The 26856-nt window shown below is 39.3% G+C and overlaps 1 protein-coding gene across 10 annotated transcripts in view, besides 1 other annotated feature; it reads right to left on the bottom strand.

The window, feature by feature from the left end:
• Positions 1–26856, bottom strand: part of FNDC3B (fibronectin type III domain containing 3B) — a 362092-nt gene that overhangs the window by 320821 nt on the left and 14415 nt on the right. For 2 of the 10 annotated variants that reach the window (XM_047448754.1, XM_047448757.1), the window contains exon 1: positions 1314–18241. The exons of 7 other annotated variants lie outside the window; for them this stretch is intronic. The gene's annotated coding sequence lies outside the window, so the exon portion shown is untranslated. Of the gene's footprint in view, positions 1–1313; positions 18242–20036; positions 23148–26856 lie in introns of those variants that run through there. One more of the 10 variants, XM_047448752.1, reaches the window with a different exon arrangement.
• Positions 25312–25441: an enhancer, noted in NCBI's record as "active region_20817". NCBI's record gives its function as "activates an Ori minimal core promoter by ATAC-STARR-seq in GM12878 lymphoblastoid cells {active_cell/tissue: GM12878}" and the evidence as "EXISTENCE:reporter gene assay evidence [ECO:0000049][PMID:35858748]".

Here is a 26856-nt window from a genome sequence, read left to right as displayed (position 1 = left end):
TCAGAGAATCTACTCTACAAGGATTTTACATGAAACACATGAGGTGCCCTTAACAGACACAGAGAGGAGATTCACCATCTAACTCCCATCTGAGGCCTGGCAGGTTTTTACTAAGTAAATATCAACTTTGAACCCATGATGGACACACATCAGTCTACCACCACCAGATTACAGGTGAGCTCTGAGCCTTTGGGCTTTATCCCAAAGTGAAACAACACTAGAAGGGCAGGTTCCATCCCTTCAAGACTAGAGTCAAAAATTCAACGATTCAGGCCTAGTACAGTGCCTCACACCTGTAATCCCAACACTTTGGGAGGCTGAGGCAGGAAGACTGCCTGAGACCAGGAGTTCAAGACCAGCCTGGGAAATATAGCAAGACCCTTCATCTCTAGAAAAAAAAAAAAATTTAAATTAGCCAGGCATGGTAATACATACTTACAGCCGTAGCTACTTGGGAGGCTGAGGCAGAAGGATCACTTGAGCCCAGGAGTTCAAGGTTGCAGTGAGCTAGTATCATGCCACTGCACCCCAGCCTGAGTGACAAAGCAAGACTCTGTCTCTTAAAAAAAAAGAAAGAAAAAATTCTAAGCTTCAGAAGATGCCTTCAAGGGTGGGAACTCCCAAGACATGGTTAATAGCAGGACCACACTCAGTTTCAAAAATCAATTCATGAAATATCCAATCTCCTTTCAAAGCCCTGGATACAAGGCAATTAATGAAACTGGGTAGTACCCCTTTTTTTTTATAATTCAGGTAACTGATTGTCATTAGCAACTAGGTCTAAGAATGCAGTATGAACATTTTGTAAGACAAACCTTATTTTTCTGTTTTGAGTTTTTCCGTAGCCCCATTTTCTTGACTGGGCATTTAACAAACTTTTTGTTTTAGGACCCTGTTTGTGATCTCAGATTTGAAGCTGAACATCTGAGATGTTACGCAGCCTCATAGGGTTTCAGTTACCAAGACTGACAGATCAACAGCTAGGTTGGCAGTGCAAAAATCCACTATCTGTTTTTGAAGAAACGGATTTTCTGCCTCCATGTTTTTCATTTCCAGGAATAATACTTCTCTCATGACAAGCAGACTTGTAAAATGAGGAGAAGCCCTTATCAGAAACCAGACTTCCTCCCTCTCCACACCCAGCACCTCTCTTTAAAAAATGTCCCAAATCCTGTCTTTATTAGAATTTGAATTTTGTCATCTTAAAGGATACTGGTGATTTCCCATATTATGGCTATACGGGAATTATCTCCCATCCCCAGTGCTAAAGTAAGACCTCAACAACAGCCAGCACAAGAATCATTGCAAGATACCTCTGTTTTGATGGCAGAAATGCCCTGGTTGCAAAATTTCTTTCCAATTATCTGAAGTCTTTTGGGTCTGTATCTGTCCAATTCACTTGCCAGTTTGTTCTTCCTGATCTCTTCTATTAAACTAGCAGAAGCATCTGGGACTGCAGCTCCCAACACAGAATCCCACCAAGGCCAAACTCCATCTTTGGAGAAAGGGAGAGACCCATTCTGGATTTAACAAGCATGAGGACCACGCAGGCTCCTGAGACTTAATACACATTTATTTTTTTTCCCCAACCAGCAGAAGATACTGAGGCCTCGTCTCACTAACATGCTACAGTTTAACAGCATGTTAAACTTTTACAGTAATGATGAATTCATATTTTTGATGTCATGTCTTCCTAATTCTGGGGAGATCATTCATTCATTTATAAATCTAGGGCCAGATCAAACTAGGTCAACCAACACTGACCTTATATAAATGTCAGTCTCTACCAAGGGCCTACTGCATACATAATTTCTATAGGGCGTGAGTTAAATTATTATCTCAAAGGTTACTAAAATACCGACCTCAGAGATTACGTGGGGAAAAGTCATCAGTGTGTTCTTTATTACCTGTATCAACAGATCGTGTAGTAAACACATTCCCGTGGCAATCATGTGATGGTCATCACCAAGAGAACTTCCTTTAGCAGGCTGCCTTGGGCAGGAACATTGAAAACTTTTACCTGAATTGCCCCTCTCATTTGAGGAATGCACCCTCAAACCAATGAGCACAAGAAAGACACCTGGGTGGCAGCGGGCAGAAAGCTATCATTAAAGTCAAAGTGTTTAGTGCAGATTGCCCTCAACCAAAGTACCACTGTTTTCTCATCTACAGCAACCTTAATGTTTCAGTATATTTGAATATCTACCCCCGATCAGCCTACTGCTCATTTCAAAGAAGCTAGGATGAAAAAGAAAAGGCAGGTTTTGTTTCACAAATGAAATTTACTATTTTCAAACAAAAGGTAAGGAATACATTCTGCAGTCACAGGCCTGGCTCCTCTACCTTCTTCTGATGCAGCGACCTACATTCCACTGGAGGTGGACATTGCAACAGCCCCTAAACCACAAGACGCCACTTACAGGTCCATAGTACAAAACAGCTATTTTCACATATTTCAAATTGAGGGAAGGGTTCATTTTAAGAATTAGTACAAAGTGTCATCTCACCTTAAAGAACAACAAGTCGAAAGAAAAGAGTTCACAGAAAAAGAGTCTAAAATATGAGCTCTGGCTGGGTGCAGTGGTTCATGCCTGTAATCCCAGCAATTTGGGAGGCCAAGGCAAGCGGATCACCTGAGGTCAGGAGTTCAAAACCAGCCTGGCCAACATGGCAAAACCCATCTCTACTAAAAGTACAAAAATTAGCAGGCCATGGTGGCGGCGGCCTGTAATCCCAGCTATTTGGGAGGCTGAGGCGGGAGAATCGCTTGATCCCAGGAGATGGAGGTTGCAGTGAGCAGAGATTGGCCCCTACACTCTAGCCTGGATGACAGAGGGAGACTCCATCTCAAAAAATAATAATAATAAATAGAAATAATTAAAAACAACAATAAAATATGAGCCCTAATTTGGATGTCTACCTAAAGTTATAATAATTAAACACATTCCACTTTTCTGTGTGCTTTATTTTGATTACTATTTTGTGTTTTGAGGCATCATTCTGCTGTAAGCCGAAAATATAATTTTTTAGGTAAATGTTAATGCCAAATACTATTCCAGTCCATCTTTGGGAATTTAAATTACTAGGCAACTTAAAAGCATTCAAGTTTTCTTTTTTGGGGGGGAAAAAGTCAAATATTTCTATAAACGGGAGCCTTTCTACATGAGACCACAGAAAAGAATTCATTAATTTTCTCTCAGACAACCACACTGGAGGCCAAAATCTTTGTTCAGGAAAGGGAGAGAGCATTCATCAATTAGGTATAGTAATGTTCTGGGGCTTTGTTTATAAGTCCGACATAAATCGCCATCTGCTAACTTGGACTAGAAAGCTTTAATTGATATTTATGTAGTTCAGAATAAAGTAAAGGAAGAGGCCTGTGTGAAAACACCACTCCATAATGATTTTCACACCGCTGGATCAATGCAATCCTATTCTGACTGAATAATGTCATGTTTAAGGCTTCCTTCCCATGCCCTTTCATTATCTAGACATTAGTTTCTCATGTTAGAAATATATTTACATCTCCTATGACAAATTCCTAATTTGTAAATTTTCAAACAACAGAAGGAAAAAAAATCAGACTAGTTTCTAAAAGGTAAATAAACTGCAGTTTCACCTAAGCACAGATTTTTAATGCTTCAGATTCCTTAAATTACATTCAACTTATTATAAACACTTTTTTTTATTTTTTTTAACCAATTTATTCCCATCTGTTTCAAATGCTGGGTCTCCAGTTATTCTTTCTTGATGAATTCTATTTACCTATCATCATTTTCAAGTTGTACTTATTATGTGATTTGATCACTCGTTTATATAATTTCATTATGCAGATTTTGTTTTCTAACTAAAATGCAAGCTTTGAAGATAGAGACCATATCTTTTGTTTATTTTGTTCATTCAAATCTCTTGCCCTAATATATTACTTTACATAAAACAAACATAAGTAATTCAACCTCTAAAACCATTAACCTTGGCCCAAATTTACCCATGACAAAGTCACCCCAGGAAAAGTTATAATTTTATTTAAAAAGTGTACTTTATGTTCCCAAAGAGTTAAAGACCCCTCTTGATGCCCTGTGACCTGATTAGAATTCACATGCCTTTATCAAATACAATGGAAACTTTCAATCTTCCTTTAACCAGTCTGAACCTCAGGAAAAATAATTTCATATTTCTGTATTTTGATCATTTTTAAGTCTCTAATTTCCACTCTGTTTAAAAAAAATAAATTAATTAAAAATAATAAGGGAAACAACACATAGGTGCCTTTCCCAGAAATTGACATTTCATCTTTGCCAAGATGTGCACTCAAGTGGAAAGGCAGGAGGAACTCACAATGAAGAGAGTAAATGCCTGACAGTCTACAATAACATGGTGCCCTAAAAGATCACGTGCAACTGAGCAGTACAGAGGAATATCTATGACTGAGCGCTTGGGTATTTCATTTGACATTGCCATACTCCTAGTGGCTAGTGCAATTCTCTACAATGTACACTCTCTGAATGCAGACATTTTTGTTTTGCTCACTGCAGTGTCCTCAAGCACCAAGGATAGCCCTAACACATAGTAGTGCTCAGTACACATGTATAGAACAAACATTTGTAGAATAAATGTGTAATATAATGACATTAGTAGGAAACAATATAAAAGAAAGACCCTGGCCCTAGTTAAATTTTATTTTGAGATTAGATTTCTTCTGGTACCTTAAGAGGGATACAAACCGTAAGTATCCAGGAACAACCGACCAGTATGGTGATGAGTCAAAATATCAAATCACGAAAGAAAAAGCTTTGGAAACTGGGACCTTAAGCCTGTAAAAGAGGACTAAAGGCAAACAAGCTAACCATAGTTGAGTTTACAGGGTTATCATGTGAAAGAAGAAACGAATGTGTTCTGGGTTGCTATGGAGTAGTGTTTTTTGAACTCCAGGTCAGGACCCATTCTTGGGTCACATAATCAATTTAGTGGGTCACTGACTGGCATTCTTTTAAATAAAATCGAATAGAATTGCATCACAAAGGAAAAAGGCAAGTATTGATTTGTGAAACTTTTGATTCAGTTATATGTATATAAATGTTTGTGTGTGTGTGTGTGTGTGTGTGTGTGTGTGTGTGTGTGTGTTTACTGGGCTACAATGTAAAATATGTTTCTCAATGTGTGCCCCACTCAAAAATATGTGGAAAAATAGTGCTATAGAAGCCTATCTCTGACCATGCCAATTTAGGCTCAATATAAAAATGAGACATGTTTCAACAACAAAAAATTAACTGATTCCTTCTAAAAGTTGAAGGGTCAATATCCACTGCCAAGGAGCCTTCAGCTTTTAGAAGGAATCGGTTAATTCCCATTTTTGTTGTTGTTGACGTGTAGGGGATATTTCTATATCTTCATACAGAAATCAAAAACTGAAGGAAACCTAAGTGACCACTTGGTCCAACTTTTTCATATCATTAATCACAAAAATGAAGAGATCTAAAACCAAACTGGCGGGCAGAGGCAGAACCAGGACTAGAATATCATGCCTCCAGCACAGGCCAATGACCAAGTGTCAAGATGTTGTCCAGTAGGTCTCGGCACTAGCTCGAATGGAGAATTAGATGGCTTCCCTGGTTCTTGGCATTTAAAATTCTTTGATATAAAACTACAAGTATCGTACATATCTTTGGACAGTCAGTTTTATAAATTATCAAGATAAAAAGATAATAAGGACTATATTATTTATAGAGCTCAGGACTTCAAACATGATAAAAGTATTAAGGAAGCATCAAAGACCTCTTCCTTCAATGTTTTAGAAGACACAAAGACAAGGAAAAAAATGTTTTTGGCAACATAGGTACAAATGTACTAAAATCAAGAAGTTCAAATAGTTGTGATTGGATCATGTTTAAAACTCTGTAATTCTAAACACATACAATCACACAGGCTTTCACTCGTGCAAGGCAAGAAAGTTTTGTTATTGGAAGGAAGTTGGCAGAACAGGGTGGATAGTTTGACACTGGATGACAACACCAATTATGCCAGATGCAGTTCTGCAATAAGCTAACTGTGGGTCCCCAACCGGTAATCAATCATGTGACTGTGGCCACTAACGGGCTAGGGGCCTGCCAAATTTCACATGACTGATAGTTATGAAATAGCTTCCTTTCCGTGTGTCTCAAAACAGGCTTAAATTACCTTATTTTTTTCAGCCCTTAAAGTATAACCCATGCTATAAAATAGCAAACTAAGATATCTGCAACATCCTCCACCATGAAATCATACTCTACAGCCAAAAGACAAGATTCTTTAAGTCACAAGCAAGAAATCTCGCTGACTCTAGGACAAGCTGCTGACATGCAAAAGCACGAAGTAACAGGTTGCTGTTAAACAGAACTAATCTGATGTCTTTAAGTTTTAACCTTGTGCTAATTTTTCCTTTTTAAAAAAGAGTTCAAGGATCAGCAGTCATTCTAAGTCCTTGATACATGGCTGCTCTATGTATCTGTGTACAGGCTGATTTGATGTTTGTGAGCACACATTTCTGAGTTACGGAATTCACAGCATCTGTAAGCAGAGAATTAGGTCTGAATACTAGCCTAGCGGAATTGTGGAACCACAACTACTTGCACACAAGAGGGCCACCTCAGTGGCACTCACAATGGCCACAGGCAATAATGTAGCATCATCAAGACCTCCCTCAGGCTAGAAGCAGCCTTTCAATCAAGTGCCTGGAAAAATGGGGTCCAACACTTGTCAATTCATTTGCAGACAATTATATTTCAATCTATGTTTTGCAAGGTCTTACTCAGAGAAAGTCTTCCTCCACAGTCCTCATCCTGTGTTGCATCCCTTTCTTGAAGATGCAACTCAACATTCTCCTAAATTCAGACAAATGACCTGGCTTCCAAAAGGACAACATTTCTTAAGGGTCATGTGGTGGGGGAAGGGATCAGGGGAGAAAAAGCACAAGAGAAAAGTGTTACTTTTTTTTTTTTTGTCCTCAGTGAAGAGGACATGAAACAAGGTCAGGTAGTAAACTTACGCTACAAAATCATGCACCCATTGTAAGGTGGAGTCAGTTGTAAAGGTTCAATGAAAACAGTTAACTACAGAATATACCATATAGGGACATGCATAAGACTAATTCATCAAAAATGCCTTTACATAATGCTGATCTGCTCTTTGAATCATCATTAAAAGTGTAAATGGGAAGTTTATTGGCAAGGAGGCAGATACAGCAAACGGGAACTCACTCATCACAACTACCTTTTATTTCACAAATAAACCATAATTGTCTTTTCGAGAAGTCAAATCACTTTCTAGTGATATTTGGTTTCCCCTCCCAAAGGTTGTTTTGCCAACTGAAGAAAGTCAAAGTCCACAGCAACTAAATGATTTACCTAACTTCAGACAGAAGCTGGTACTGCAGCCAGGAACGAAGTGTGTTTCACCTGCTGTCCAATACTTTTTGTCTTAAAATCCCAATCCACTTTCACAGCCAGTCTCTACATTCGAACTGTTACACTTGAGAATTACAAATGGAAAGTGGGCAAACAGGACCTGCTGAAAACACCCCAACCACCATGTTCATTCCCAATGTTGGGAGGAACCTTCTCTCCAAACCTTTCAAAGCAGAGTTCCAGGCCCAGTGTTTAACACAGTAGCTGAGAAATAGCACCTGGCTATAGTACTGCAAGTCCTTCACATAAATGCTAACAATAACAGTTCAATCCCATCAACAAAGAAAATGTCTGTGTTATAACTGCTAAATGAGAGGGCTGCAGACATGTTTAATTATGTCTGCAGGGTGGCTATGGTCCAATACCTGCCACCATCTGGAGGCTTTGCTTGCTTCCATTTCAGAGCCCCACCATGGCTGGTGGAAACAACTACTCCGGCCCTTTTCATCAACACAAAGAAAAAATTAAAATAATTAGACTTAAGTGCCACATAAAGGCTTAGATGAAAGCACATCATAAGAGGCATCAGTGTCACCGTTTATGTGGCCTCAGTGTCATTTGAAATGAAATCTAGCTTCATTACCACTGAGTTTTCTTGATGTATTTTCATAGATGGGAGCTCTGTCAACATCAGGCTGTAGGAGAAAGATAAAGAGTTAAACACTTGCTTCTTAATGGCTGCTTTTGGCCCACAAAGTCCATTTTACTATCTTATCATCACGCCTAATGTTAAGCTTGACCAAGAAGCTGGACTCTTTACAAAGCAAGAACTCATCTACAAGGCTGAAAATCATGCGGGAATGTCAAAGCAGTTTTTGCTTGGCTACAAAGGAATTAACAAGAGGATGCCTCCAGATGCGGTAGACTGTGGATTTCCCAGGTTGGTGATCAAACAGGATTTTGTTGTTAGGCATCACAGTTTTAAACATTCAATTATCCACTTTGTAAAAATTTCACCTTTATTAACATTATTACTATTTCATGACACAACCATTCACTGACAACCCTAACGAGGTCAAGATACTGATAGCCACAAAATGCCAAGATATTGTCATTACCCCAGGAAACGCAAACTACAAATTCTCCCAGGTCTCTCAAACTCTATAGCCTCTCTGTCCAGTACTAGAACCACTAGCTACATGTAACTATTTAAATTTAAATTACTTAAAATTAAATAAAACCTTGAATTCTATTTCTCAGTCACACTAGCCACATTTGAGTAATCAACAGCCACATGTGACTAATGGGCATACGCATACTAGATAACGCGGGTATTTCCATAATTTCAACAATTCTATTGGACAGCACTGCTGTAAAATGCCGTATTTTCATTGAAGAAAATGAAGGATGAGTTTCCGACATATGAACTACTAGTATTTAACCAAAGGAGGCACTCCAGCAGAGTTGTTAAGGGCCAGTACTCATGAACTCAACTGTTACAATTCTGACCCTGGCTTGACCACTTAGCACTGGGATTGGAGCCAGTTACTTCACTCTCCATGTCTCAGTTTCTATCTGTAAAACAAGGATAAATACAACATCTATCCTCGTAAGACCATGGTAATGAGAAAATGACTTCATACGGAAGTGCTCGCTATGTTAATTTTCACTGTCATTATTACTAAGCCCTACAATATGCTTCAAAGCCCCCAAAAATGTGCATACCCTTTTTTAGCTAATAAGTATTTTGTTCCTTTGAATGTGTGTGACAACCAGCCTCCATGCTGTCTTGAGGTATTTGAGAGAAAAACTAAGATTCACTAGCCACAATCTGACTTATAAATCTGACCACCTTTCATAAGACTCTTCACAGAGAATAAAAAAAAATTAATTCTGATTTTATTTCACTATTTTTAACAAAATAAAAATTTTAGTGAATCAATTAATGGACTATATACACATATAAACCAGGTTAGTTTTTCCAAGTCAGGCTAAATTCATACCATTAAGGTGTATAAATATATATATACCTAAAGATCCATGAGCCCATAAAACCATTTACTTATTCTATAAATCCTTAAGACTTTGCCTTAATAATCACCTGCAATTAGCAAATACTTTGCTTGAATGGAAACCTGCTATTAAAGTTATATCCAACTCAATGAAAATTCCAAATTAGTTGAGTCTAAACTAACGATTGAGTAAGCTTAGGGTATACTATATTTAGCCTATTTGAAATAGCTGGGAAATATAATGACTGAAAACACATAAAACTGAAGAACAGTGTGTTTCTACACAATAGTTTTAAAGTTTATGAAGTGTCTTATTTTTTAATTGAATAATTAAGTCTGAAAAATAGACTAATTTTTAGCACTATCAAAACACGCATTTGTTACTGTGAATAATTTTTTCCACATATAAGAAAAAAAATTTTGTCAGCCAAAACCAGTAACCTTGAAAAATGCTGATTAGTTAGAAATTGCATAATCCTGACCAATTTTTGCAGCAAAAATGCCTGTATTTTTCCTGAAAACTTTTTGTTTTAAATTAGATGAAAATATATTTCCGAAAGAACTTATCTGAAAAAAATACTGAAATATTGAAGGATGAAATAATATGCCTGAGATTTGCTTCAGAATATTACAGCAAGGAGCAGAGAATGAAAACGGGTAAAGATGAAACAAGACTGGCACGAGCTGATTGATTGTCAAGGCTGGGTAATAAGTCCAGGGGGATCCACTACTATTCTCTACTTTTGTCTATGTTCAAATTTTTTTCATAAATTACAATGTTTTTAAAAAGCTCATCTAAGAAAAGTGTAAGGTGTTTTTGGCTTAAAGTAAAAGGTAAATGCTAAATATGTGATAGCAAAGATACATTAGTTTCACAGTCAGTAGCCGGAGTGCTAGGATTCTGCTCTTCTCCCCTCGTCAGCCACTACAGACAGCAGGATTTACGATTATCCCAAACAACTGTATGTCCAGGGGAGTGTTGATCCTTTCATGCGACCTGGTTTTGGATCTTGTTTATCTCTTTCTTCACCAATTCCAGAGAAAGAAAACCACAGGGTAGATTGGCTAACACACTCCGGAAATAGCCAAGGGTCTTATTTTGATATCATAATTCTTGAGTCCAAGATGTACCCTATTTTTTAAGACTTTCGAAAGGTTGCACTCTATTGACAGATCTCAGTTTAGCACCAGAACATCTAAAATTGCAGTTACGGTAACAGGATGATTTAATCCCCTAATAACGGCCTGGAAAAATGTTAGCATGTTGAAAATATTTCACGTTCATATCATTTCAAAAGTGCAGAAGATAAGCACCTACAGATTTTCAATTAGAGGTTAGCCAACCTTGAGACATCATACATGCCCTGGAAAGAAAAGGGAGCAGGGGACCTGGAATTCAGAGACTGGAATGGAAGCAGTAGCTTGACTTCTCCCTTTATTTGCCACAGTGCCCTAAGTAAGGAAAGGCACACAACTCTCAGACTAGGTTTTCTCATCTGAAAACTGGGATAATAGTCACTGTGTTCACACCACAGGGTCACTGTGAGAATGCTACAATAAACGATATATATAATAGAAACAGATTTGGAAATACGGTGGTATTTAAATATAAGGCATCACCTTGTAAACTGCTTTAGTAGCCCCCCTAAAATGGCTTTAGGCTATTCCCCTACTTGGAATCTGAAAGGGGAAAAGGCCAATTAAATTGAAGAAGACTAAATGGGATTGTCAGCCAGATTCCACAACTCCCTCCCAGTGAAGCTGAAACAAGAGCCACCTGGCCAGAGCATCAAAAGGGCACTGGACTGAAAAGTCAGATAGCTATGAAAAGTCAGCACAGCAGTCTGGAGAGTAGAGAAACTAAGGCAAACCAGTAAGACTAAAGGCACGCAAAAACAACTTAAAAAACCCACTCATTCACCTATGTAACAAACCCACACGTTCTGTACATGTATCCCAGAACTTAAAATTAAAAAATAAAAATAAGTAAATTTTTAAAACCCACTAATTCTTCAAAGATCTCAACCTTTGCCTAAAAGTATTAATAGAGATATTTAGTGGCTCTAGCCACGTAAAAGCAGCATTTTACAAAACATTTTGCTTAGGAAAATAAAATGAATGAATACCTAAGAACATCCGATTTGATTTTATTAAGATATTCAAAACTGTCCACTTCAAGTGGAGACAGCAGCCAACAGCAGAGCCCTCTCCTGAGGATTCCATGCCCTCACCCTCCCACAGGTACTAGAGTGACCTGCTAAATTGACTGGAAGCCCTGGCGAAACTCACCGGGAGGTTACCAGGTCAAGTAAATTGACAGCAACGTTTTGCAGCAGAAGTACAAGAAGCTGACCTAAATAACTAAATGAAGGACAGGAAAATATGTAACACAGAATAAGATTTACAAAGGAATATGGAGTTTCAGGAGGGGAATGATGTTATGTCCCCTCCCTGAAGACCACAACTGCCTGGCTACAAACCCTAAGTCCACAACTGACTAGCTTTTAACTTCAGGCAAGTTGCTTACCCTCTCACTACCTCTGCTTCTTCACTGGCAAAGTGGAAATAATAAAATAAAGCACCTAATTCAGGACACTGTGAGGATTAAATGAAGAAATGCATGTAAAGCATTTAGAACAGTGTCTGGCACATAGCAAGCACTCAGTCTGGGCTTATTATTAAATTTCCTGACAAAATGTTTTTATTCTTGCTATAAATGAGGGCTCCTCTGGCCGGGCACGGTGGCTCATGCCTGTAATCCCAGCATTTTGGGAGGCCGAGGCAGGTGGATCATCTGACGTCAGGAGTTTGAGACTAGCCTAGCCAACATGGTGGAACCCCATCTCTTCCAAAAATACAAACAATTACCAGAGCGTGGTGGCTTAAGCCTGTGATCCCAGCCACTCAGCAGGCTGAGGCAGGAGAATTGCTTGAACCCGGGTGGCGGAGGCTGCAGTGAGACGAGATTGTGCCACTGCACTCCAGCCTGGGAGACAGAGTGAGACCCCATCTCAAAAAAAAAAAAAAAAAAGGCTCCTCACAAAGTGTCCAAATACTTGCTCAGCAGTTCAGAAGGAGAACTACAAAATTAATTCAAGTAAAATGTCTGAGGAAACAGAGGGATGAGTATTGAAAGTGGGAGCCATGGTCGAGCCAGTCCATCATTAGCTTCTGTTCTTTCTGGCGCTTCCCCATTCACTCGGCAGAGCATCAGCTCTGACCCTGGGGATATAAAGGTGAACTTACAAGCCCTCTGCAGGAGCCCAGAATGGGAGTCCACTGGGGGGAATAGGTGGGTAACTAAATGACAAAAGTGTATAAGACAAAATAGAATCCCCTGAAAAGAGCAGCAGGGGCTACAGAATGGGATCCACCAGGATGAGCCTGAAGAGTTGGGAAAGGTAGACCGAAAGCAAGGCAGTCGCCCTGTGACTGAGGTGGAGGAGTGGGGAGGTATGACAGGCAGTAGAGACACAGGGAGGCCATGTACAGCCCAGAGGGAGAAGATGATGATGGCCTGAACGTTCTCTGCTCTCAGGAGTCATAAGTATTCTACCATTAATTCCCAGAGGAAGTCTCTTCAAAACAGACAGGAGAAGGAAACACCTATAATAAGTCTTGCAGGTTAAGTGGCAGAGAAACAAACTGGTTTCCCTAGGTCTACAAAAGAGCCTGTTCTGTAGTACTAACTCTTGGACCACAAATCCCTAACAAGATGCAAACTTCTGAAGATTCTTAATGGGCCTGTTAAGTAATTTTTTTTTCAAGTGTGATGACATTTTGCTCCACTGATCCAGGTGCAAAGACTGTACCAAAAACCCACCAGAGACTTTGCTTCGTATAGGAAACTCTTGATGTAATTGTAGCTCTATGACTCACGGTAATTATCTTTTTAAAGAAACATAAAACACTAAGAAAGTGTACTTTTATTTTATGATCTTCTATAAAATAACAGCATTAGTATTTCATTCATAAGTGTAATAAAGTAACATCAAACAAGAAAAAAAGCAGAGTCCGACTCTGGTGCCTTAGTGAACGCAGAAAAGCCTCACAGATCAGATTTACAGTAAGCCAGACAAACTCATCTCCACACCACTTTCATCCTTCTCATCAAAAAGGTAGTAAGACTTCAAAAAGCACATCAATCAGGCCATTCTCGCTGTTTAAGACACAACCCCAAAAGAACTCAAACTAATTACAGCGCCACATTATATACAGAAAAATACCACTGCTGTCTGAATAATATCTAAACAGTGGAAATTTAAAAGGACAAAATTAGGAAGCAAAATAATAAAAGCCTAGAGGAGGATTTTGATAGCTCATGGAAGACTGGGTGAGGGTAGGAGACTGCGGACCAAGTCTTATATCTGCACAGGAGAAAGAACCAAGTTAGAAACCACTCTACATAAAGCAAGGAGGAAGAGCTGCAATCTGAGAAAAGGGTGATCTGGTACAAGACCCCTAAATCCACAATAAGAGAATATTGTGTATGTCTCAAAAAGAGAGTATTGTATATGTCTGCTACTGAACAACAGCAACAAAAATTTTTACACTTTTCAGTAAAAGTGCTTCAAAAGAGCTGCCTATGTTCACACACTCGTGCAACCAATTAAAAGTATAATAATCAAAATTAGTTCATTTTCAATGTATAGACCAGAATCTCAAAACAGATAAAAATTCCTTTCTGAAGTATGCAACTTAGTGTCACTTCTCCATGTGTAGCATTTTCTTCGAAAACACAAAACTTTGTTAATGTTCTTCTAACTCCCAAGTTACTCAGTAACCACAAGAGTAACTGAAAGCAGTCTGGGAACAGCAGCACGTAGATCCAGGTCTTAATCTGAGCCTTGTGACCAAGCTTTACTAAATGGCTCAACCCAGACAAGTCCTGAGTTTCCCAGAGGAAAATGAGCTTTATTTCCTGAAGCCTGTAGCCACCTCTGTCCTGAAAGGACAGGAAATTGTAGTCATTTTCGCCAAAACTATATGTAAACAGGCTGCAGAAGGGAGTTACCTAGATATTGCCTTGGGCAGATATTACCTCCCAAAGTCTCAGTTTTCTCATCAGGAAAATAGGAATCACATCGTTCCCCTTCCAGGGTTGATATGAAGGTACACAAGATCATATGTGGAATTTAAGATGCTCTAATGCCTAAAATGGCAAAACTTGGTGTTAGTATCATTATCGCCTCACTGCTCATCTCCCCAGGCCCACCTCCCACCCATATTGAACACCCAAACGTCATCATTACCCCTAGCAACCACAGAATCATGGGAAGACAGAACAGATGAAGTTTGGTAAGCTACTAAATAACAGTTGTGGGCTAACAGCCAGGTTATCAGACAAGCAAACGCAACCCAAATGAAGCTTCTTACCTGCATTTCTACATCAGCTACAATGGTCTTGGTGTATCTCTACATTCCAAGCCTTCATGCATCCTTTGTAAATACTAAGAATCAGGGGTATTTAGGTTGACAAAGTAACTACATTAACCACATAATCATACCTCTACATCATTATCACCAAGAACAACAGTATTCCAAATATTAGACTCATAACTCTAAAGCAACAATTTCCTCCCCTCACTCTCTGGGAAAAAAGAAAGAAAGAAAAACTTTGCAGAGGAATAAAGTGGGAAGCCAGTGTTCTAATATAAACATGACAAGCCCAATTCTATCACTGCAATATACTTTCTGACTTCAGTACAAAAATCTTTTCTGACCATCTGGAGCTACTCCAGGCATGAGGCCAAAACTTTGTAATTCCTTTTCAAAGTAAATGACAGATCAGTAACTGCCACGTTGCTAATGCACAGCCAAAGGGAGCACCTCATATCCTATTCAATGCTCCCTGGAGTTTTACACATATAGTAAAAACAAAGTGCTTCCAAATAAACCTGCCCACTTTCCAATATTCCAAACTGAACAGCGATCCTGTCACTTTTGAACAAGGCGGCATTTCTTCGGGTGTGATCCTATTACCCTATTTCACACACAGGAAGTAGGACTTCAAGTTTCACTAAAAAGTCATATCTACACTAAAATGAATCCTATGTATGTCCACTACTATTTCAGTTCTCCAGAAATGGCACATAGGAGTCTACCAAAAATTTTTTTTCTTTTGAGTCGGAGTCTAGCTCTGTCACCCAGGCTGGAGTGCAGTGGCACGATCTCAGCTCACTGCAACCTCCGCCTCCCAGGTTCAAGCAATTCTCCTGCCTCAGACTCCTGAGTAGCTGGGACTACAGGTGCATGCCACCATGCCCGGCTAATTTTTATATTTTTAGTAGAGATGGGGTTTCACCATGTTGGTCAGGCTGGTCTCGAACTCCTGACCTCATGATCCGTCCGCCTCAGACTCCCAAAGTGCTGGGATTACAGGCGTGAGCCACCGCACCAGGCCTCTACCAGAAATTTTAAGAGGCTGTTCTCTGCAGTGCCTGAGATGCCCATAAGGTTGCAATAAACATGGGGTCACATATATACAGGGCAACAGAGGTGAACTCAGGATCAATGGGGACCCATTAAGTTGGTGGACACTTGTTTTTAAACCCCACTGACTAGCAGAATCACTTTCTTCATTCATCCAACACACCAAATGGAGAGCCTACTATGCGCCAGGTACTGCAGTGATGACGAATGAAATCAAATCTCCCAACACCTTTGCCAAAAATATAAATTTGAAGAGCCCAAAACCAGTTTCATGTAATATGCCACTGATAATAAGAGCCATTTGAAAGCTCAGAAGCTAAAATTTGATAATCTTCCCCTGGAGCATATTGAGCAGAAAGATGTCAGCCAGCAATGGCTATGGACTTCCTACATTTCAAAGAAATGAAAGTTATCTCTGAAGTCACACTTTGCATTGGGGAGTTGTCTTACCCTTTTAAGTAAAACATTTTAAAACTGAACAACCTGAAAATTCATCTGTTAGCCAACCGTTTCTTACAAAGACAAGTTAAAAAGAGTTTTACAGATGAATAAAAGATGAGTAAACAGTAGCTGGCCACTAATCACAAAATTAAGCAGCAGATAGATTATAAATAAAAATATAAAACGGGTCATTATGGGGCTGACTTAGTCCATCTGGTCTGCTTTAACAAAATACCTTAGCCTGGGTAATTACAAACAACAGAAATTCATTTCTTACAGTTCTCGGGGTTGGTAAGTCCAAAATCAAGGCACCAACAAATCAGATGTCTGGTGAGGGCTCCTTTCCTGGTTCACAGATGGTGCCTTCTTGCTGTGTCCTCACATGGTGGAGGGGCAATCAGGCTCCCTTAGGCTGTCTATCTAATCTATCTATCTATTTTAAGAGAGAGTCTTGCTATGTTGTCCAGGCTGGAGTGCAGGGGTTATTCACTCACTGCAGCCTCAAACTCCTGGCCTCAAGCAATCTTCTCACGGCCACAGCCTTCCATATAGCTGGAACTATAGATTCGCACCACCACACCTGGCCCTTAAGCTTCTTTTATAAGGGCGTGAATGCCATTCATGAGGGATCCACCCTCATGATGTAACTGTCTCCTAAAGGCCCCACCTCTTAACACCATCAACTTGGGGGTTAGATTTCAACATATAAATAAATTTGGTGAGGGGAGAGAGACACAAACATTCAGACCACAGCAGGGTCTCATCCTGATGAAAAACTGTCCCTAAGGATAAATTCACAAAATCAGAGTAAGAGAGCTAGAAAAGGCATTAGAGATGGTCCTACTCTGATTTTACCCAGCTCCTCTGTTAGAGACTCTATTTTTTTCAGGCTGCCCTCAAAACATCATGTGATCATTACTAAAATAATGGCATCTGAATGTCCTGAGCCAACTCCGAATGGAACCCCTTGTGTCCTATCTGAGAACAGGAAAGAGATCAGCAATCATATCAGACAGTCACAGACAATTCAGAATCCTGGTAAGGGAAAGAGTAGAAACCTCAGTGCAGATTCCTCGTCACAGGAATGCATGAGGAGGACACTGTCCTCAGTCTTTGGGGCTAGAAGGGGAAGAGAAGTAAACGTTGACAGAATTATCCTTCTCAAAGAGTTTAACAGGCACAGTGGAAATTCCAAGGCAGATATCACTATCAAAGAAAACTGTTGGGAGGAGAATGGGTAGCAGGGGAGAGTATCAGCGATACAAGAATCTGAACAGAAGGACAATGTACAAGAAAAGGTAGGGACTTTCTGAAGGCATTTTTGGTGGCGGTGGGTGGGGATGAAGTAAACAGCAAAGAATAGACTGTAGAAAAAGACAAAAATGCTATCTTATTTTAGGGAACTGTGGAACATTTGAAGAAAAATGGGGAAAATACAAAAAAATCAAGACTTGCTTCAAAAGTATATAACGAAAAAATGTATTTAACAAGGAAGATAGGGAGAAAAGATACGTGTAAAGAAAGGACAGCAATGGATCATTCAAAAGAGAAATCTTAAAATCTATGAGAGCAAGATATGGTTTTGTAGCATTAGATCATACACCAATTTCACTTCCTTCAAAGGCATCACCAAAAAAAGTAATGCTTTAAAGAGAGACACTATTTTTTTTTCTGACTCTGCCTACATTCACTTAATTCTTCATTCTCCTCTCATTTTGACCTAAGTTATTCACTTAAGATTAACTTTTTCTCAGTGATATACGGGCTTCAGGAAATAACTAATAGAAGTCAAAATGAGAAGAGGATGGATGGATGGGTGGATGGATGGATAGATGGATGGAGAATGACTTAACAGTTTGGCAGAGTCAAAAAAAAAAGTACTTAGAAATACCATATATAATATCAGCTCTGCTCAAATTGCAAAATGCCAATCATAATACTTATACAATAATCAAACAATGATAAAGAGAAAATCCCACTTTCAAGAAGGAGAAAAGTGGCCAGGCGCGGTGGCTCACGCCTGTAATCGCAGCACTTTGGGAGGTCAAGACAGGTAGCTTGGCTAACACAGTGAAACCCCATCTCTACTAAAAATCCAAAAAATTAGCCAGGCGTGGTAGCACACATCTGTCATCCCAGCTACTCGGGAGGCTGAGGCAGGAGAATCACTTGAACCTGCGAGGCGGAGGTTGCAATGAGCTGAGATCATGCCCCTGCACTCCAGCCTGGGTGACGGAGAGAGACTCCATCTCAAAAAAAAAAAAAAGAAGGAGGAGAAAAGTAGCAGAAATTGGGGTACTAGGGACCAATAACAGACAGGGGCAGGAAGAAAGGAGGCAAATTCCCAACCCTAGAAAAGGAAAAGAATAAATTTGTATATAGCCTGCAAGGGGGCTGAGGGGTAAGGAGAGAAGGAATGGGGACTGAGCACTTCATGGTCATGCTGGCACTGATCAGCTTCCGGACATGTCCTTTATTGCATGTATAAAAAAACTATTAAGGAAGAAGTGAAACTGCACAAACTTAACCTCAGCACCAGCATGATTACCTCACGTAACTTCTTTTCTTAGTATCCCTAAACAGAAAGTCATTCAGATAAATAAGTTTATGGTTTTTGATAAGTGTCCCCTAGTAACCTGGTTTATGCATCATGCATTAGTTTGTGGAACTGAAAGGTTAATGCTGGAAAAAAAGATCAGAGATCTCTTTGGTTCTTTGCCCCGACTTAGTTAAGATTGTGTAACTTGTGCAAATATAACCATTTCCTGTCCGCTGAACAAAGCAATTAGTGGACTGGGTACAGTTTCTGAGACAATTTAAGGGAAGAAATCAATCTGGCCATGTCTCACTGTAGTTCATTTTAAAGAAAGAAACAAAAGAGACAGGAAAATATAGAATATCACTATTTTGTTGAATAGAAGTCATTCTTGCTTTATATAACCTTCTTCCCCCACAGATTGTACATGACACATTAGGAAAAGAATCTGCTTCAAAACGGCTTGCAAAGAATATATCTAACACCCATAACTTCAATTTACTATTAAAAAGTAGGCTGGGTGTGGTGGCTCATGCCTGTAATCCCAGCACTTTGGGAGGCCGAGGCGGGAGGATCACGAGGTCAGGAGATCGAGACCATCCTGGCTAACACGGTGAAACCCTGTCTCTACTAAACATAAAAAAAAATAGCCGGGCTTGGTGGCGGGCACCTGTAATCCCAGCTACTCGGGAGGCTGAGGCAGGAGAATGGTGCGAACCCGGGAGGCGGAGCTTGCAGTGAACCGAGATCACGCCACTGCACTCTAGCCTGGGTGACAGAGCGAGACTCCATCTCAAAAAAAAAAAAAAAAAGTAATGTGCAGACCAGGCCGTTTTAAAAGAAAAAATTGGTATCACTTCATGAGTTTAGAATAAGCATCCATTATTCATATAGGATGGGCTCTGCAAAAAGAAATATCAGGGAAGGAAGAGCAAAGAAAAGATGAAATGCAACCTGTGCTTCCAGTGACTTCCCAGGGCTGGTTCCAGGAGCTCAGGAGGTATAGAAACACTGCCTTCATTTTCCTCAAACCTTTATTGCTTAAACTAGCTTAAGTGGGTTTCTGTTATCTGCAATGCAATAATTATTGACTGAACAAGAAAAACCTTTCTATCTTCACATAATTTGAAGTATCTCAGTTATTCCTCTTGATTGAAAGTTCCATATGCCTCCAATAGTAAGAATTATAATTAGAACATGTCTTTAAAATTAAAATCAAACATAAGTTTTCACCTGGTTCAAACACATGGCATCTCAGTGTCAAAACAACATGTCCTGCTCCATCATTAAATCATTCATTCAATAAACACTTGCTGAGCAGTCTGTTTGCCAGTCTCTGTATATAAGAGAAGAGGAAAGTGTCGGTCTCTGCCTTCAAGGAATTTAGATTTTAGTGGGAAAGTCAAACAGAGGAATTAGACATCTCCCTGCTTCTTCTCTTGCCGCATCTTTACAGCTACACTCAAATAAATACTACTACTGATTGAACTGATGGCTCCCTAAACTTCAGGTACCAGTTCATGCAATCTATCTGTTCCTACAATCTTCTAGGTCTTCTAAAGGGCAAATGAGAAGTGTGGAGGGGGCCTTTAGGGTTTTCTCTCACCATGGTAAGTAATCAGTCTCATGGCCTAGGGAAGACAGAGAAAAGCCTGGTGTGGGGCCAACTCATAAATGTGTCTTACCCTCTGCCCACCACCACCACTACACTCTCACCTGAGGGAACACACCACTACCACCCCCCACCCTAGCAACAGGACTGACTGACATCTAAAAGAATCTAGACTTTTAAATTAAATCTACCATCTTTCATTACTTATATTTATTCAAAAGTTCACTACAAAACTGAGTCACGAGAATCCTAAAAGATAGTATTTGAGAATTGTCAATGGGCCCCACTGACTATGAGGGTTCTCTCTTCGGGAGGGAAACAAATTCTCCAAAAAAACAGATATTTAACAAGCACCAGTCAATTGAGTCCGAAGACCTCTCACAGCTAATAGGAAGTGACTACCTGGCTAAATCTTCACATTCTTGCAAATCCAAATATGTATTCCCTAAAGCTGAAGGCTGGAAGATTTAGATCTAAAGATGCCTAATTGGTTTGAAACATTTCAAAATGACAGTTCTCAATAAGTGAAATCATTCAAAAGGAACTGCCCTAGGAATAAGTAATACATGCCCTCTATTTACCTAAAAGTTTTAATTCACTGGACTATAGATAAACATCCTTACATAAAACCATCCGGTCAGCATCCTGGAAAAAAGTATCATTATGCTAAAAGTTAAGCAAGTTTATACAGTCTATCAGGTATTAATGTTTTCCATGATTACTTTTCCATGGCAAAATGAATTGCGTTATTGACTTAGAAAAATAAACAATACGCCTAACTTGTATTTGTGCCCTGATTTCTTGCCAAATTTAAGTATACTAGATAAATTTCAAATAAATAGGTCAGACAATCTATAACAGAGGCCAGGTGGCCAGTTAATAATCCATAAAGTCACTTTCAAACCTAAATTCTCAATCAAGAAAACAATTTTTCAGATGCAAACTTTTGACTCCCAAATGCCGAGTATCAGGAGAAATTTTTCAAAGCCTTTTAAGTCCTTTATATATAAGCTTCAAATTCCCCCATGCCATGGAGAACAATTAGTGTCAGGAGTCCTGAGGAGAACTAATCTGAGACTTATCCAAAAACCCACTGGGAAGGTGTATGGATCACAGGACTTCTTACTATTAATATCAAAAATGCCACTAGAAACCTCACTCTTTTTTTTTAAGTGAAATATAAATTCAGAAAATATTTTTAAAATGCTCCCAAATATGTATTATGTTACGTGCTATCATCAAAATGTATTTCTACAAAACACACATATAAGTTACACTAGTACTACACTTATTAAAAAAGTAAAGAATTCCATGCTTTGCTGCTTCCTGTAAGCATTAATAGTGACAAATAAATAAGGAAAATAAACATTATGGAAGATGTTGGTTTTGATGAAAACCAGAAACAAAATGTCAGAGGCAAAATGGTCACTGCTCTAGGCAAACTGCTAAAGGTTTTGGGAATTAGGACACGGAGAAAAGAAAATGTTCATAAAACTTTCTTGGTTCATTGATATGCTCCTATGAAGATGGTAGAAACTCCTTGTTTTTCCAATATATCATTTCAAGAAGCAACAAAGAAGCTCTATATGTACAGTCAATACAAAACAAATATATGACCGGAAGTTATGGTGCTAATATGACAGGTTCTGTTTAATAGAAACTACAGATCCATTAAAATGAGATGATTTACTCTGCCTCCTCTAGACACAAAGACTGAATGTCTGCTTCTTGTAGTATTGGCTACTAATACTCCTCTGATTTCAAGCAAGTCCTTTCAACTTAAGGTCCTCTTCTCATTATGTATTTCATGGGAAAATGTGATATTGAGTATCTTAGAATGAATTATATACCAACTGAGGATCTGTAATAGAACATCCCAATAAACCAAATAATATATCAAAATAGCAATAAAAATCTTTTGGCTTATATAAAAAGGAAAAATGTAAGAGGGACATCAACTTGCTACAAAAAAAAAAAAAAGAAAATTAAGGATCTCATTCTTAAAGGACATAACAGTAGCAGAAACCAAGTCAGCCCTAAGATTAGGAAATGTAACTCTGCAAGGCAATATGATTAGAATGTACAAAGACAGGTTCACATTTTTTTCCTCTGTAACACTAATAATATTTTCTTGTTATTGAAACCACAAAGTAATTGATTACCCTAATGAATATACAGATTTTCTTCAACATGAATGTTGCTTCTGAAAAGCAAAACTAATATTCCGAGAGAAAGCTCTGACAAAGCCCTCCTTCAAGCAAGTTTCCAGCAGCCAGTGGGACATGTGAGCAACTAGGCAGTTTGCAAACATGTGGTTAAAACGTCCACAATTGTGCCAATTCTGACAATATTTAAAAAGGTTTCCTAGACACCTAACTTGCACGTAAATCCATACATGATTTCAGTGTGGATTAGGGCCAAATGTCTCAATAATAGAGATTCAGAATTTCAAGTTTTTAAAAATGACACTCCTTCCAGCCCAAGAATCAACCTCTATGTAGCACTGTATGCTTTTTTTTTTTTCCTCCCTGCAAATTAGAAAATTAAATTTTCTTCATTTCCAGCCAGGGGCCACTCAAACAAATCTAATGGGTGTAGACAGCATTTCCTGCCTACTGCAAGGAAATAATGGGATTGTCATTATTAACATGGCCCAAGGCATGCACTGAGGTGGGGCACTGAAGAAACTGACCTTTAATTTTCATCAGTTAGACTGCACTGACTGCCTCATTTAAAAAAAAAAAAAAAAAGGTAGATGTTATTTTTCTCCAGCATTAAAGTCTAACACTAGCTCATTCACTCTCATAGAGCAAGACAGGCTTCGATCCCTATTATCCTTTCCATTCAACTGTGTTTATGTCTAGAAAAAAACCTGCCAGTAAAAGTTTTGTTCTTCCCCCCAACCCCTTTTACTTTTTTGGAGCTAGTCTTCCAATTTACAAGAAGTTGGTGAGGTTTAGGTACCTCTAAAGCAGAGAAACTCTTCTATTGATTGACATCTCTGCCAAACATTCCATGTCATTTCAAAGAAAAGTGCATCCAAACAACAATGAACGGCAAAGGTGGCTAGGATCTCTAGAAATACTTCATGTACTTAACCTGCAACGCACTGTTCCCCCACAGTGGTGTCTTTACACCATGACAGAGATGAAGGATGCTGTCTGCAGTGGTGACCCAGAGATGAAAGGCAGAGCTTGGGAGCCCAACAGCTGCATCCACTAATGTCAAGACCTGATCGCTCTTAAAAAACAGAACAACATCCACAAAAAGAGAGAAGGAATGGGAGGGAGTGACTCCCCTTTATTACAACATTTCTTTGATCTTAGACTTAAGAAAGGAAGCAGAGCTGTCATATATCTATTAAAAAGGGACAACCTCTCTTTAAAGGGGCAGAAAGGAAGAAAAATATTGGTAGAAGTAGCACTTGCAGTAACTAAGTACTGCTTGGCATTCAGATGTGCTTTCCCCCACAGGTGCTTTTGATATATATTATTTCATTTTAGGCCCACACTACCTCACTAAGATAAACAGCTCGAGTATGACATTAAGGATGAGCTGGAAAGCTGTCACATGAACAGAGACACTCAAGGAGCCAAAGGCAAGGTCAAGACAAAACTGATGGCTAATATTCACATACGCTTTTAAAGTAACTGGGAATGTTTTTAAATAATTATCCCATTAAGAAATACATCCAACAATTAAATCTGTCTGTAGTCACAGAGTAAAGCAATAAAATAATAAAACAGCAGCAGCTACCACTTCCTAATCACTAGTTCAAAACACTACGTTGAGCCAAATAGTCATAACAAGACACAGAGATTGAGCATAAAACACTGAGAGTGCTAAGACACTGAGAGACTGGGCAATTAAACCAGTTAGAGATGTGCACAGCACAGTTCCAAACTCAGATGTTTCCAGAGCACCAAAATATTAACTCCAAGTTAAGTGAGTAGTTTCCCATGTCCCCTCCAAATATGAAAACTGTACATTGTAACCGGCTATTATCTATAGACAAGGGCTCAAGAATACCCAAGAAGCATAGTGTCCTTAAAAATGTTTCCTTTTCATCTAACACAACTTGCCATTAAACTTTCTAGAAAATCATTCTATGCTTTCTCATGAAAAATGTTATGAAAGATTATTTCTTGGCTAAAACTGAAACTTACTGAAGATATACAAATACACCAATCTGTGTTAAAAATACATTTTTTAAAAAAAAAAAGTCCTTCATTAGTCTGCCAAGCAGGACGTCTGACATCAGGCTAGAATCCTCCCTCTATTGGACTCACCGATGACTCAGTGGAAACTAGGATTTGGAAAACCTGCCATCCCACATGAAACATACTAGGAACAGGCCGGGCGCAGTGGCTCACGCCTGTAATCCCAGCACTTTGGGAGGCCGAGGCGGGCGGATCACGAGGTCAGGAGACTGAGACCATCCTGGCTAACATGGTGAAACCCCGTCTCTACTAAAAAATACAAAAAATTAGCCGGGCGTGGTGGCGGGCGCCTATAGTCCCAGCTACTCAGGAGGCTGAGGCAGGAGAATGGAGTGAACCCTGGAGGCAGAGCTTGCAGTGAGCCGAGATCGCACCACTGCACTCCAGCCTGGGCGACAGAACAAGACTCCGTCTAAAAAAAAAAAAGAAAGAAACATACTAGGAACAAACTCACTCACCTTCATCAGTGCTACATCCTTCCCTAGCCATCGCCTGTTCTCCCCTACTCACTCCCACTGCCCCTGCTCCTCACGAAAGCAAGGAAGACAAACATGCAACTAGAACGTTAATGGCAAACACTTCAGACCCAAAATCACACTAAATGAAGCTAAAATAATCTATTAGAGACATTTATTTGAATCCTCTGTTCTCTTTTTTGTCAACTAGTATGCCCTCATAGGTTTGAATGAACTCCTGAGAACACTGAACTAATTTAAGAGAACTGCAAAGTGAAACATAAACAGGAAGTGACACTGTTTCCCTGTTTAAATTGAATATAATAAGCAAATGGTAAAAGCTAAAAAGCTATGTTTTCTAATTATTGAGATTGCCACGGGTGTCAATAAGATGTAATTAAAGATACAGGACAATAATCACATAGCAAGAAAATAGGTCCAAAATCAAATAAAACTGGAAATAATTATGTTTTTTCATTAGTGAAGAAATTGTATAGTACATTAAGATATGTATTGCTAAACAAAGCCGGAAATAAAATATAAACCTTAAAAATTGTTATCCATTTCTTCTCCTCCCACTTCACTTTAAAAGAAGGAGGATTTTTTAAAGATGAACTTCCGAAGAGACTCCAAATTACTGACTTTATAGTAATTTATTTAAAAATGAGTATAAATACAAAGCAAATTTTGGTGATGGTGGTGAAAGTGTGAGGTTAGAGAGAAGAGAGTCCAAGCAATTTTAAAGAAATATAAGGAAATAAAACACTCAGATCCTAAAATTACAATCTATTCCTCCTTTGATAGATGCTTAAAACTGTTCTCTTTACCTCTTGAGGTATAATATTGATATTTAAGAAACTATGTACTCTTAAGAAGTAGTTGAGTGCTATGGTAATCTGCATCATGAGGACCTACCACAGCAAGTCCTGAAAGCTGGAAGGAGGCAAAGGCTTCCCCAGCCTCCAACTATAGAGAGAGGGGTCAGGTGGGCAGCCAGCATTAAGTACCACTTCTCTGGAGGTGCTGCACCCCCTACCCCCCTGTTCAGGGGCATTTTTAGCACTTACAGCCTCCCTCCTGAGACAGGAGAGAAAGGAGAAGGTGGTTCTAACAGTCCTCACCATTCTGTGGAAACAATCTCCAGAGAAGCACATAGCTCCTTCTAGACCACGAGGAATATTCCTGTGAAGAAGCCAGAAACGGTTTTTAGGCAATACAGCCTTGGGGGCTGCATCTTCACTTAGTGTCTTTGTCTACACCCCTCCACAAACACAAGGAAAGAAAGCAAGTCAGGCCGCTCTTCAGAGCCTTGTCCTTAACTCACCTTCAGTGAACTCACTTTCTAAAGATGGAGTCGAGCCCTACATGATTTCTAACAAAGGACGCATTTAGGGTTGCCAGCTACCCAGGTTTAGCCTGGGCCGTCTGGGAAAGCACAAGGTTCCTCTGAATCCTGAGGTCACCTTTAATTAACTGCAGGAGCTGCTTTCTGAGTTCTCAGAGATAGACACCCTCTAGTCCTTTGCTCATCCCATCCCTGTGGCTGCCTTGGGTACAACCTACACCACCTAAAAGTATTAACCTTAAAAGGAGAAAAACAGTTAGTATTAGGAATAGGAGGATTTGCTTTTCCAGGTGCAAATTATAGGTACAGCATCTTACTCTTATTAACTGAAATGAAAGGCACTGCGGATGAACAGAACTGTTTTACCAGTGAGTAAAAGGACTCCCTTTCATAGAGTGTTTAAAGTGTCCGAATAAGGTAA

This window comes from Homo sapiens, chromosome 3, assembly GCF_000001405.40.
Source record: "Homo sapiens chromosome 3, GRCh38.p14 Primary Assembly".
Lineage (NCBI taxonomy): Eukaryota > Metazoa > Chordata > Mammalia > Primates > Hominidae > Homo > Homo sapiens.
The sequence above is the reverse complement of the archived record's forward strand: the minus strand, read 5'-3'. Positions and strand labels throughout refer to the sequence as shown.